We start from the raw sequence: 14,391 nt of genomic DNA, 5'->3' as shown, positions 1-14,391 counted from the left end.
GACTCCAGAGAGAACAGAATATTTGATATGAACTTTTAAGAACTGGAGGGAGTGGGAGTGAGACAGGACATTCCAATAAGAGAAAAGAATATAAGCAAAGAAGGTCTGAAATAGCTTGGCATGTTCAGAGAACCAAGAGCAGTCTTGTTTAGCTGGACAGTGTGGAAAGGGGACAAAGAGGACAAGATAAAGTACAGAGATGACTGGGGGCCAGACTGCAAGGGGCCTGCATTGTGATGCTGGTATCTCTGAATTCTAAGCTCCAAACCACAGGCAGTCTTAGAAGCCTACTGAGCCAGAGACTGACAAGATCTGAGCTCAGGAAAGATGACTCTGGCAGCCAGGCAAAGAATGGATAGGAAGGGGTGGCGAGGAGCCTGAAGACAAAGTTAAAAACTTTAAGCAAAGCAAGTAATCTGAGGTTTTAACACTTACACTAGGCGAGTATTTTTAAAGGGTTTGAGTCTTGACGACATTTCACGTCTTCCCTCAAGTGATCATCCCAACTATTCTGTGAAACAGGTGTCATCAATCTTCCCATTCTACAGATGAGGAAATTAGCTCACAAGCCATTAACTGCCAAGTCAAATGCTACAAAAACAAGGACAAAGCGCAGGCTCAGCACTTTTCCACACAATGAAAAATAAAGAACAAGAACAATCTAATTTCTTTTGAAGAGTGCTACCGTACAACATAGCACAGAGTAGGCTAGCTACATTACCCTATATTACCACTGGAAGTGTTAAAAATCCATCTAATCAGCCAGGCGCGGTGGCTCACGCCTGTAATCCCAGCACTTTGGGAGGCTGAGGCAGGCGGATCACGAGGTCAGGAGAGAAAGACCATCCTGGCTAACACGGTGAAGCCCCATCTCTACTAAAAATGCAAAAAATTAGCCGGGGGTGGTGGCATGCACCTGTAGTCCCAGCTACTCGGGAGGTTGAGGCAGGAGACTCGCTTGTACCCGGCGGGCGGAGGTTGCAGTGAGTGAGCCGAGATCGCGGACTCCAGCCTGGGCGGCAGAGCGAGACTCCGTCTCAAAAAAAAAAAAAAAAAAAATTCATCTGATCTTCTTAAATGTTTGCAACTTGCATAACAAGCTAATTATCCTTAGATTTGACTTCTGTTAACGTCATGTTAAAGACCTATACTTTTTCTCCAAAGCAAACAAAAAAGCACCTGCACTTTGAATTCTACTTCCTATGGAAATAAATAAGAATAATATTCTCCCTTCCCTTCAATGTTTAAAAACTGGCATTTCACTGATGTAACGGGCTTACATAAAAACCATTATACCCAAGGAAGCTGTAAACCACTTTTTGAATGATTAAAAATGCATTATTTAGCAAGTACAGCAATTGAATCTGAGTTATAAGATATATTAAGTGAAAGGAGCTTCTATAGATATGCAAAGGCACACTCTCGGAAATAGGTTCTGTCATAAGGAAGCGACATAGAGATCCTGAGACCTATTTAAGAATGGTTCAATCCAAAATAACTGATGGAAGAATATTTGACCTTGAGGATGCAGAGTGATAGAATCCGCTCCTCCTCCCCCCCCGCCCTCACCCGCCTTTAAATTCTAAGTCCACGAAATGGTCAAAGTGTTCTGGAACGGGTCTTATTTTGCATAGGAAGAATCTAGCTTGGGCATTTTACCGCACAGTTTTATCCACAGCATCGCCTATTACCAAAACTGCTTGTCCCTACCCCCTCACGAGCTTTCTAACAGTTTTTAAAACAAGACCCAGAAATGTAAAATCCCTTCTTAGGAACTTGAACAGTAAGTCAAAGTATCCAACCCAGGTAATTATTAGCAAGAACTACATTTATATAATTTTTTCCAAAGAATCTCGCATGCCTCCTCTCCGCTGAATCTCCCTCCTGTTTTTAACTGGGTTAAATCTTTATAGCTTGCCTATAGAGGACAAAAACGGAAAGGTGGCAAAAAAGAAATCAAGACAGTTCTGCCATGATTTAGGGGTCTGTACCAAGAGTTCGGCAGGTCCTGTCACCTGCGCACCACAAGACGCAAGCTGAATTCTAGGGCAAGACGAAGCATTCCAACACGACACACACTGGTTTCTCCAGCGGGAAGAAGCAGAGAGCTCTAGAAATGCCGGCTGCAGACGCGTATTGTTGGAAAGGAGCCGGATCAGGCCCCGCAGCAACTCGGGGCGCCCTCGCGACAGGGTTTGCCGCGCAGCGCACGGATGACTGTGGGCCTGTCACTCCTAGCTCCAGCTGTAACCTTCGCCAAACCTTGCGCCGCACCGGCCCCGCCCGCCAGGCCCGCCCCCCGCGCCGCGCCCCGCGCCATAGGCCGGCGCGCCAGTCGCTCAGCCGGCCTCCCGGCCCCGCCCGCCTGCGGCCCTCCTCCCCCGCCCGGCGGTTTTCCCTTCCCGGGGCCCCAAAAGGACAATGCTGGAGGGGAGGGGAACGGAGGGAACGCGAGCGAGCGGCCCAGGCTGCCGGCCTGACCCCGCTGCCGGGGACGCCGGGCGCCTCCCACCGGCCGAAGCCTTCCTCCCGCGCCCACTTTCGGGGCTCTACGTCCTATCAAGTCTAAGCACCCCCGCCTCGTCTCCCCTAGAAGAGCCGCCCCGGCGCGGCGACACCTGCCCCAGGCAGGAGGCAGCCAACGGCAACCCATTGTGCGGACTCATCGTCCACAGCCCACCCGGGCGCAAGAGCCGCAAGCTGGTGTCCCGGCGTCCTGGGGTCGGGGCGGGGGTCCCAGGGCCCACAGCTCACCCGCACGCCCGGGCACCACCAGGATCGGGGCCGGTCAGGCCTCCCTCGGCTGGCCCCGGAGCCATCAACAGCGGCCCGGTCTCCCTTAGGCTGGCCCCGGAGCCATCAGCGGCGGCCCGGCCTCCCTCAGGCTGGCCCCGGAGCCCCCGGCGGCGGCCCGGTCTCCCTCAGGCTGGCCCCGGAGCCCTCGGCGGCGGCTCGGCCTCCCTTAGGCTGGCCCCAGAGCCCACGGCGGCGGCCCTGTCTCCCTTGGGCTGACCCCGAAGCCTTCGGCTGCGGCCCGGCCTCCCTCGGGCTGGCCCCGGAGCCCCACGGCGGCGAGCGTCCGGCCTCCCCGGCCCGCGCCCACCCGGCCGAGGGGCTGCTCCGCGCCCTCCCTCCCCGCCGCCTGCCCGCAGTACCTGCCGAGGCTGCCGGGCGGCGCGGCGGCCGGCGGGGGCGCCTCTCCTCTGGCTCCGAGGGGCTGCGGGCGGCTGCCGAGCGCCGGGCGGCCCTGGCCTGCGCCTTACGTAAAGCGGCGGCGGCGGCCCCAGCGCCACTCCGCGGAGGGCGGGAGGCGGCGCGCCGGGAGCCGCTCCGCTCCGTTACCCGGCAACTGGCCTCAGCGCCCCGCCAACCAGGGGCGCGCTCCATATCCTTCCGCCCGGGTGCCGGGATTACATCAGCGCCGGCCGGTCCCCGCCCCTGCCCCTCCCTCCGGCTGGGCTGCGGGCGCGCGCGGGCGGTGGGCCGCGGGCTGACGGCGCGAGGGGACAGGCCGGGGCTGGTGCCTGGCGGGTGGGGGTCTAGGGCCCGGGACGCGCCGTGCAGCTTGGCCGGGGCGGCGGAAGCCGCTGGGAGGTGAGAGGGCAAGCAGTAGAGAGGGCAGGCAGGAAGCGGGAGCCCCCCAGCGTGCTGGGCGTCGGAGAGGAGACGTCTCCCGCGGAGGGGCACGTGGGACTGCCCTCGGCAGAAGCCCCCGAACTCTGCCGCCGCGCCCCGCCCCCGGCCCGCGCTGGGGAAGTGGGGCTCGGCGTGCACGGCCCCGCCCGCGGCCCGGTGCAGCCCCCGCCTTCCCGGGCTCGCGCGCCACCTGTCCGCGCCCCCTCCTCGCCGCGTCCTGGGATGGCTGGAGTAGGCGGCTTAAAATAAAGACTTTAATTTTTTGTTGTTGTTGTTAAGGAACCCAGAAGACAAGCTAAAGAAATGTGACATGGCTCTTTTTTTATTAACTAGGCAAAAATAAATTCTGGAAGCTTCGAAAGTGGAAACCAAAAATGTGCATTAACCTTTTAATCAAAGTGTCTTCACAGCCACCTACCTTCCCTAAATGTGACTCCTAGGCCTGTTCTAAAAAAGCAAATAAGTATCATGGACCTGGAAAAGGAAGGGAGATTACTTAGAAGAAAGAGGTCCAATGGGAGGAGTGACTTACCTGGGGTCATTTGTTCATTTATGCAGCACCCACTAGGTGCCAGGCACTATGCTTTTCTGTTCAGAACCTGTTGGAGAATTTCCTGCACCAGCTCACGGGCTTGTGGGAGAAGCAGATGCTGAAACACTGGAGAGGGGTCATCTGCTGAGTTGGCTAGATGCTCCATGCATCCATGGAAGGACAAACCGAGGAACTGTCGCTTACGTACTATCTACAGAGTGTTTTTTCTGCGAACATATCTTTTTGTTCTTTACAAAAATCGTGGGACAAATCTTTGTCATCCGCATTTAACTGGTGAGGAAGCTGAGGCTGAAAGAAAGTGATTTCACCCAAGCCTGGCTGCTACCGAGTGGACAGGGCCTTCTGACCTTGCTAAACCACCTCTTGCAGGAGACAGAATGTGAACCCAGGCTCCTGGCTCTGAAATATGGGGTTTCGTTTCCTTTACACTACTGTCTCCCTTAACCAGTTTGCTTCTAATTGTATTCTCTGAGCATTCGCTCAGGTGAATGTATATCGTCATAAATCACACGTTCATTCAGTCAGTTTCTTCTGAGTGCTTGTTGTGGACCTGGCTCAGTGCCGGGAACGCACAGTCCCTGTGCTCCTGGAACTCAAACTCTAAAAACAGTGTCGAGAATGGAAAGGGTATGGGAAATCCAGGGCCACTTGGGAGTAGAGGAGGGGAGAGTAGCAGAGCTTCAGAGCCTAGTTCACAGGTGCCTCCAGGCTCCAGGATTTCACAGACCAAAGTATGGGGGATTTGCAAAGGATGGTCAGCTTTTGATTTTTGCTACATTGGTGACATATCTGTCATCTACATCATATTTTACAAAAGAGTATTAACAGCAAAATTTTTTGAAAAGTAATAACAGTATATCTCAGTTCTGAAGAAAGGAAACACGGTTGGCACCTGTATAGTGACACACACACACACACACACACACACAGAGTTTATTGACCTTTTTTTTTATTACTTTGCCACAGACCAGTTTTTATACTAGTTCTACCATGAACTAGTAGAACCTGAAGACTTCTTGGAAGAAGAGGTTTTTAAGTAGGAATTATCTTGTATTAATAGGATTTGGAGCTGGTGGGGAAAGATGACAGATTAGGGAAAGAAAGTGTCTTGTTTACTTTGTTTTCTTAACAAAATAGCCTCCTGTCCTCCAAATTATTTTGATAAAAATCCTAGGAGTCTCAGCTGACTCCAACCTTAGGGCCTTTGCATCTGCTGATTTCTGTGAGGAACTCCCTCCCCAGACCTCTGCGTGGCTGGTTCCTTCTTGTTAAAGGCCCTGCTACGATGTCACCTGCCCAGAGACATCTAGATGCCCAGTTTGGAGTAGCCAACCTTCCCAGTCATGATGCCACTGCTATATTTTGTTTCTTTATTCACAGCTCTTATCAGTATCTGAGATCATCTCGTTTGTATGTTTGTTTCCTCATTCATCTCAGCCTCCTCACTCAAGACCTGTATCTCACAAGAGCAGGCATTTTGCCTGTGGTGCTTATTTTCATATGCCCAGAGCCCAGCACGGAGCCTGCCAGTTTGTAGGTGCAGGACTGAACTATCATCTGTGATGTAGTCAGAGTGCACATCAGGGAGAAAACAATCCCACCTTCCCTTGAGCAATCAGGAACAGGGCTCTTCTGCATGAGCCCCTTACCCCCTGTAGTGTGCCACGCTGCCTACGACCTTCCTTCAGGCTCCCGGGTAGAGATCAGCCAACTTAAACTCAGGAGAACAGTAGCTTTCTCCCTCTTGTGGGCTAAGATCCCTAGGGAATGCAAATGAGGCCAGAGGACTCCTGCGTTAAGGCAGGGTTGGTGTGGAGGCGGTAGACTCCCCCTTCAGCATTTTCTGAGAAGAAACCATTGTCTCCTGTGTATGTCTGAGATCATTCATTTCATTTCTCTAGTCTCAGGAGCACCTGCCACAGCTTTTTAACCCCTACAGCCGGGTAAGGCAATGCTGGAGGAAGCTGACGACTCTGAGTGCCCTCTGACTTGGATGTTCGATGCTAGCGAGGATTCTAGCAGCTGCCATCTGGGGCAGTGATTGTGTAATGTGTATGCTTAGTGAACAGCAGGGATGAGGCTGGGTCCGGGATGCTTTGTGATGTCGTGTGGCACACGGACTGACGGCAGGCAGGGGCCAGGCCTCTTCGACTCTGTGATCTTGGGTACATAATCTCCCTCTCTGGGCCTCAGTTTCCCCATCTGCACAACAAGGGACTTGGGCAGGAAGATTTCAAAAATCTCCTTTGTTCTGTGCCTGTGTGTGTGTGTGTGTGTGTGAGAGAGAGAGATTTAGAAACAAAATTTCAATGAAGCTACACTTTGATAAATGATATACAAATCCTCACCTGTCACCTGACACGAGCAATGCCAGCTCCTGTTTACTGACCCCCAGGTGCATGCCAAGTGCTTTGCTCACATTGTCCTTAACTCCCACAATACCAGGCAGGGAAGAGATGATCCCCATTTTGCAGCCACAGAAGCCAAGGCTTCTCTGGAGACTTAGGTGGCTTGCACAGGCCACACTGCTACTAAAAGGCAGCACCAGGATTTCATTTTAGCCCTGTGCTTGCTACTGGGCCACACAGTATCATTAAAATCCATCCTGAGATGACTTTTAAATGAATGAGGCCAAGATAAAACCCTGACCAGATAATCTCCCCATTGCCTCCCCATGGGACCAAGACCCTCACTTGGGATACTAACTAGGCATCTCAGTTCAGATGCTGTCAGTCAAGGTGGCCCACATCATGGCCTTCTCTCTTAACCACCCCAGGCCTGCACCCGCATTCTGACAGCCTCTCCTCTCAGTGGCTCTCCTCTCTTAGGGGTAGTAACATCATTCCAGGCCTAAAGAGAGTTCAAGCCTCTGGCATAGCCCCATGGTCTGACCTTGAGCAAGGCCCTGACCTTCTGAGGGTTTCGGCTTCCTAGTGCAGGAAAAGACAGAGGAATAACGCCTTGTTCCGCTTGCCTATCCCTGTAGGGCCAAACCAGATCAGAGGTGTGGTTGTCTCCTGCTTCCAAATTTGTTCCTCACTTCTATCCCTCCACCCAGTCCATGGAAAATCAACAACGTCATCAGCAATGTCACCAGAAGTAGGGGAGCACGGTGATTAAGCACACTGGCTGATTAGCTCACTGATGTGGGTAAATTACTTAGCCTCTCAGTTTCCTCATCTGTAAAGTGGGCATAATAATAATAGTATCTGCCTCAGAGGGTTGCGGTGAAGGGGTAAGTGAATCCACACAGAGGGTACCCGGCACACAGCAAACACTCAATAAATACCAGCACCCACGACCATCCCTCCTTGAAGCCCCCACTACTTAGCTCTGACTGCCCATCTCCAGGACCCCCTCTTCCTCTGTCCCTCCCATTCCCTCCTTTCTTATCCCTCCTTTCTTATACCTCCTTTCTTATCATTCTGCATACCACTAGGGCAGTCTCCTCCACTCCAGTAGCTGTTAAGTAACATGAAAATGGAAGGACACCTAATATCTCTCCCCTACCCCAGCTTTTCTCCAAGGCCCAGAACCGCCTCCTGGGCTTGTCCGCCTTGCTGGTGGGACCCTCCCCAGCCCCCAGCATGTTCCTGGCTGACTCACTGCCTTTCCACACAGGGGCCCCTTCCCTCATCGCTCTATTTACAGCATCACCCTCTCCCTGGCTGCCTGAGCTAGAGTCCTAGTGCACCGACCTGGTGAATTTGTTTCAGAGATGACCTTGCAGCCAGACTGAGCTCAAACAGACTTGGGTTTGAGTCCAGCGCAGCCATGTGGCACAGTGAAACCTTGAACAAGTTACTTCCTCTCTCCGAGCTGGCTCGCATCTCTCTAAAATGCACACAATGGGCGGACCCTCCAGCAGTGAACACTCATCTTTTGATCCATCTGCCAGTATATGAAGCCCCTTCTTATGTTTGGTGAATCCCTGTCCCTTTTGGGATTCACCCAAGCAAAGAAGGCTTCCCTACACGGAGCCTGAAGGCCAGACCCTGACCCGACCTCCCTCCTGGCTTCCGACTTACTGTCATCATTATAACCACACAAACCGTTCCCGGGGCTGCTTCTGCATTGCCCAGAAGTACCCTGCATCTGGACAATTAGCATGTGAAGGAATTGGAAATGATTATTTAGTTATAGGTGTGAGCCACTGCACCCAGCCGGGAACGATTTTGTCAAATTTAATCAATATATGGACGTATGTTTTGGCGGCCAACATTCAACCCACTATACTTAAACATCTTCTGTGGTAATAAAATAGCACAACACCCACCCCTCTGTGTCAACTGACTCACTCCTTCCTTCCTTCCTCCCTCCCTCCCTCCCTCCTTCCTTCCTTCCTTCTTGCTTTTTTTCTTATGCTCTCTCTCTTTCTTTGACAGGGTCTGTGTCGCCCACATTGGAGTGCAGTGGTACAATCATAGTTCACTGAAGCCTTGTAGTCCTGGGTTCGAGTAATCTTCCTGCCTCAGCCTCCAGAGTAGCTGGGACTATAAGTGTGCCACCACACCCAGCTGATTTTTAAAAATTCTTTTAGAGAAGACGGTGGGGGGGTCAGAGGCACCGGGGATGTGGTCTCCCTCTGTTGCCCAGGCTGGTGTTGAACTCCTGGCCTCAAGCAGTCCTCTCACTTTGGCCTCCCAAGGTGCTGGAATTGCTGGCATGCACCACCATGCCCACCTGATTTTTTTCTTCTTAGCGCTAATCAACACGTGCTGCGTCATATACGTATTTACCTATGGCTTTGCTCCCCCTTTAACTGTAAGTTCCAGGAAGACAGGCAGGGCTCTGTCTACTTGTTCACTGCTGCCTCCTCAGCTCCTAGAACGGGGCGTCACACACAGCAGGTGCTCAAAATTCATATATATTGAATGCATAAATAAAGATCAGACAGTGCTGAAGATTTACAGCCCTATTTGGGTCATTCCTAAAACACAGGATTGCCAGTAACAGCCAATGATGCTACAGTGTTTATAGGGAAAACGGATATAAATGATAGCTATTAAAATGGATATTATATTTATGTCGACATGCCATAATTATTTCATACTCTGAGGGCAATGGCAGGAAGCTGGCATCTTCCAGGAAGAAGTGACTGGGAGAAGACCCCTCAGGGAAAGCTCCTGGCATGGAGCCTGCCTAGAGCAAGCACCAGGTCAAAGGCAGGCGATTTGCTTCTCAGAGCCTCCCTTTCCCACATGGAAAAGTTGGACTGGGTGGCAGATCCCTGAGGCTCCTTCCCCTCAGACTGGGAGACCTTGGTGGCAGGAATGTCTACCTGCCCCACCGCTCCTGATGAGAGGCAGCTTCGCCACCACCAGGGTCTGGGATGTGTGTAACACAGCAGCCCCCTCAAGGTCCCTAGGCTTGGGTAGGAATTTCACTCATCCTTGGCCACCAAATTCAGAAACGGAAGGTCCCCAAAATATGACATTCGGGATGGGTTGCTTTAGATGGATTGGGCTGAGATGGTTAGAGTTTTGGAACTGGTGGGCTCCCTGTGGAGTACTGAGGTCCCAGAAGGGGATTCTCTATAAGAGCAGTGGGTGGCCAATGTACAGCGAAGGGGCATACCCAGAATACAATGGAGCTAGTTCACTTCACTCCCCATCTCTGTTCCCTTGATGCCATGTGATCCAGCAGTGCAGAACTGGGGAAGAAGAAGAGTCCCTACACCACTTAATACTCAAAAGTACTCGCAAAAAATAACACCCCTCACCAGGTGGCATTATTACTCTCCTTCATTGAGAAAATTAGGAAACTGGACTTCGTAGAAGCTAATTGCTTTATCCAGAGCCACCTGCATACAAACCTGCAGCGCCACCTGCATACAAACCTGTCAGCCGACCCCAAAGCCCTCAGTCGCACCAAGCCTCTGCTGCACACCCTCGTGCCTTCACACTGGCCGTTCCCCAAGCCTGGGGCATACTTCCCAGCTCTGAGAAATGTATTCATCCTTCAAAGCCCTGCTCATGTGTCCTTTTCAACAGGAAAATCTCCCATGAGATGCTCTGCTATCCCCATCTCTCCTGCCCCATAGCTTAGGCAGACTCCTGTGGTGGTGAGTCCTGGGCTGTGCTGTGATGTGTTCGCTGCCATGTCTGTCTTCCCCACAATGATGGGCCCCTGAATTCTCTATCTCTAGCACCTGTGCTCAGTAAAGGCTTGGGAAACCAGGCTCAAAGCCTGGCCCAGATGCCACCTTTTCCAGGGTGCTTCCGGGGGCCACCAACCAGAGTGCAGCCTTCTCCTCCACCAGGAACTCTTGCAGCCCCACCCCTGAGCACCTGCACCCCATTACCCATCTTTGTTTCTCCGTGTGATCTATTTCTGTTTGCTTACTTCTCTATTGCCTTTACTCCCCAACAGGATGTCAGCCTCAGAGCAGGAGCCTAGCCTAGGACAGAGCTTGGTACGTGGTAGGTGCTCAGCCAACATTTGCCAATTGGTGTTTGTCTGTAACTTATCCCTACCCTCCAACTGTGGGCTCTCCAAGGATCCTGGGATGGGGTGAGTACTTATGCCTAGTGGAGCTCTCACAACGTGCCTGGGCATCCCATCTCACCCCACCCTAGACCTTAGAGCTGAAAGGCCCTGGATGCCCTCCCAATCTAACCTTTATATAAGAGTGGAGACCCAAAGCCCAGAGAGGGTGAGTGGTGTGCCAAAGTCACACAGCGGAAGCAGCCTGACACCCATTCTCCTGGCTTCATGCCTACTGATCTCTCATCTCTTTCTGTCTCCTCTTGTCCTCCCTTGGTAAAGTATTTTCTTTCCTGAAGCCACCCACTTCTGCTAAATTTTACCCATCCAATAGACAGAAGGCAAGGGCTTTCATGTCGGGTAGTCACTCAAACTTGGGTCTAAATTCTGCTTTTCATACCTCCCAGAAGAAGGACCTGGGCCAGTTAGTTCATTTTTCTCTTTCTTTCTTTCTTTCTTTCTTTCTTTCTTTCTTTCTTTCTTTCTTTCTTTCTTTCTTTCTCTTTCTTTCTTTCCTTCCTTCCTTCCTTCCTTCCTTCCTTCCTTCTTTCTTTCTTTCTTTTTTGAGATAGAGTTGGATCCCGGCTCACTGCAACCTCCGCTTCCCAGGTTCAAGCCGTTCTCCTGCCTCAGCCTCCCAAGTAGCTCAGATTACAGGCATGTGCCATTAGGCCTGGCTAATTTTTGTATTTTTAGTAGAGACGGGGTTTCACCATGTTGGATAGGCTGGTCTCGAACTCCTGACCTCAAGTAATCCACCCACCTCGGCCTCCCAAAGTGCTGGTATTACAGGCGTGTGCCACTGCGCCCAGCCAAGTTGGTTCATTTCTTTTAAACTGTTAATTGTGAAATACACATAACATAAAATTTACCATCTCAACCATTTCTAAGTGTACAGTTCAGTGTCAAGGACATTAACATCGTTGTGCAACCATCACCACCGTCCATCTCCAGGACCTTCATCTTGCAAAACTGAAACTCTATTCCTGTTAAACATTCACCCCCCATTCCCCTCCCTCCGCCGTCCTTGGCAACCACCATTCTACTTTCTGTTTCTATGAATTTGACTCTTTTAAGGACTTCATATAAGCGGAATCATGCAGTCTTTGTCCTTTTGTGACTGGCTTGTTTCACTTGATATAAGGTCATCAGAGATCATCCATGTTGGAACATGTGTCAGACTTTCTTTCCTTTTCAAAGCTGCATCATATTCCATTGTAGGATAGAGCACATTTTGTTTACACATTCATCCGTCAATGGACACTTCGGTTGCTTCCACCGTTTGGCTTCTAGGCATAATGTTGCTATGGTTCGTTTCTTCTTTTCTTTTCTTTTTTTGGGGGATGGGGGCAGAGTCTTGATCGTCACCCAGGCTGGCATGCAGTAGTGCAATCCCAGCTCACTGCAGCCTGGACCTCCTGAGCTTAGGAGAGCCTCCTGCCTCAGCCTTGGGAGTAGCTGGGACTACAGGCACGCACCACCATGCCCAGCTAATTTTTATATTTTTTATCGACATGGGGTCTCACTGTGTTGCCCAGGCTGGTCTCCAACTCCTGGGCTCAAGCGATCCTCCCACTTCAGCCTCCCAAACTGTTGGGATTGCAGGTGTGAGCCACCACGCCCAGCCTGGTTCTTTTTTTCTTAAGCCTTATTCCTCACTTGCAAAATGGTGTTCCTGTCCTCAGGTGTATACATGATTCACTTTGCCTGTCATCTGCTTAACAAGGGGCCTTATCAGCAGAGTTAAATTACTAGCGTCTGCTGGGTGCCCACTGTCTGCCAGGTGAGCTTCTGCAGACTACCTGTATTTATACATCAATCCCTCACTGCCCTATGAAGTGGGTGCCACTGTTATCCCATGTTATGGAAGCAGAGAGAAATACCAACCTTGCCTCAGGTCACAAAGCCAGGGAGTGGCAGAGCTGGGACAACAAGTCAGGCCACTGGCTCCAAAGCCTGGCCGCCCAACCACATACTCTCCATATGACTGGGCTTCTTGTATCCACAGCACCTAACATGTGCTTGTGAGTTCACGGGGGAGCATTCTCCCAGCCCACATCCCGAGCCTGTGCAGCTGGCTGTCTCTGCTGCTCTCAGTGGGGGAGAGTGGGCCACCCCAGGGGCGAGTTCCGGCTGCACTGGGGAGAAGATGAAGGAAAGCACTAGAAGGCTCTGCAGTTCCTGTCCCGGCTTTTGGAAAACAAACACCACTGCCACCAAAACCTGTTCAGGAATTATGTGAAAATTCCTATTTCACACATCTTTTTTTGAAAAACAAATGCTAGAAAGACACATTCTGTCTAGTTGACATGATCAAGAAGAATATCAAACAGCATTCACAGGGAATCCATTTGATTCACCGCAAAGAAACACCAACATCCATAACTTCATTTATTTCTGCAGTGGAATGGAGGGAAGGCTGGCTGTGATGCCGCGGAGGCCTTGCCTTGGGGAGAAATTGCTGTCAAGTCACCACACCTCCTGTCTGTGGCTCGATTTATAGCATTTCAGGGACTACTGGAATTTCTGCCTTGAAACCATCTGGCCTAATTACTCCTGTGGCTGGCATGGGGCCTGGTATTGTTCTTGATTTTGAGGCGAAGGTGCTGGTGGCTCCTTAAAAGAGCCCTTTCCGGTGCCACCCCAAAACTGCAGCCACCTTCTAGGCAGCTTCAGTGTTGGCTGGGACAATTTCAGCCAGCGCCAGGCTTGGAGAAATCAACAGATTCTTTGCATCCAGGAAACAAATAAACAAAACAAACTTCTTTGCCCCTAGGAGGGTTTGCAGGTCAGGATGACAGCAGAGCGTGTAATTATGATGATTATTTTCTGCACAGGGGAAGGAAACAAAGGGCTAGAACTACCTGGTAACTGACAATAGCTCTTGTTTCTGGAGCACCTACTATGCGCCAGGCACTTATTGACCCTCTAACCTGCTTAGTAATCTCTTGGGCCCCTTACCCCCTTTGTCAGATGAGGAAACTGAGGCTCTGAAAGAGACCGGTGAGTTGCCCAAGGTCACAGATCAAGTAAGCAGCAGAGGCAGGATTTGAACCCAGCTCTCGCCTGTTTAGAGAATGACCTGCCAAGATTTTTGGAGGGGCTGAGCCAAGGATCTGGTGCTGGGGCCTGTGACGGGGAGCCCAGGGACCAGAATTAAGGTTGGGGGTGTCTTAGTTGGAGTCCCTAGAAGCCTTTGGACGAGGATTCAGTGCAGTTTATTACAGAGACAGGGTCTGCAGAATATGACCCCCCAAAGAAGTGTACCTCCTAATCCCTGGAACCAGCGACTATGTTACCTTACCTGGCAAAAGGGACTTTGCTGATGGGATTAAGGCTATGGATCTTGAGAAGGAGAGATCGTGACCCCCTGCTTTATAACCTCCCTTGGCTCCCCATCGTCCCCACAGTCCCAGGCTCCCTGCTTTCCTAGCGCAACCCTCCATCCTGTCCCTATAGACACCCCAGCCTCCAGATGTACCCAGGTACTTACACTTCTCTCAATGGGACATGCTTGTCACACCTCTCTGCCTTTGCAAATGCTGGTCCCACTGCCTGGAAAGCCCCCCGCCACTCTGCTTAACAACTGTTTTCTCCAGTGTGTCCTCTTTCTGGAAGCTTACCTTGTGTTCCCCCAGGTGGGTGAGGGGGTCTCTCTTGCAATGCTCCACTGCTAGCCCTTTCGGGCCCCCACCCCAAGGTGCCGCACTGGACAA

General features: G+C 51.5%; 1 protein-coding gene across 20 annotated transcripts in view, besides 2 other annotated features; it reads right to left on the bottom strand.

Annotated features, from left to right (window-relative positions):
• Positions 1-3,270, bottom strand: part of KIAA0232 — a 101,438-nt gene extending 98,168 nt beyond the window's left edge. For 11 of the 20 annotated variants that reach the window (XM_047416444.1, XM_047416451.1, XM_047416441.1 and 8 more), the window contains exon 1: positions 3,156-3,270. The gene's annotated coding sequence lies outside the window, so the exon portion shown is untranslated. Of the gene's footprint in view, positions 1-435; positions 2,222-3,155 lie in introns of those variants that run through there. The other 9 variants (XM_047416450.1, XM_047416446.1, XM_047416453.1 and 6 more) reach the window with 3 other exon arrangements.
• Positions 2,181-2,950: a silencer, noted in NCBI's record as "silent region_15238". NCBI's record gives its function as "represses an Ori minimal core promoter by ATAC-STARR-seq in GM12878 lymphoblastoid cells {active_cell/tissue: GM12878}" and the evidence as "EXISTENCE:reporter gene assay evidence [ECO:0000049][PMID:35858748]".
• Positions 3,011-3,890: a silencer, noted in NCBI's record as "silent region_15237". NCBI's record gives its function as "represses an Ori minimal core promoter by ATAC-STARR-seq in GM12878 lymphoblastoid cells {active_cell/tissue: GM12878}" and the evidence as "EXISTENCE:reporter gene assay evidence [ECO:0000049][PMID:35858748]".

This window comes from Homo sapiens, chromosome 4 (assembly GCF_000001405.40).
Source record: "Homo sapiens chromosome 4, GRCh38.p14 Primary Assembly".
Classification (NCBI taxonomy): domain Eukaryota; kingdom Metazoa; phylum Chordata; class Mammalia; order Primates; family Hominidae; genus Homo; species Homo sapiens.
This window is presented reverse-complemented; position numbering and strand designations above follow the sequence as displayed.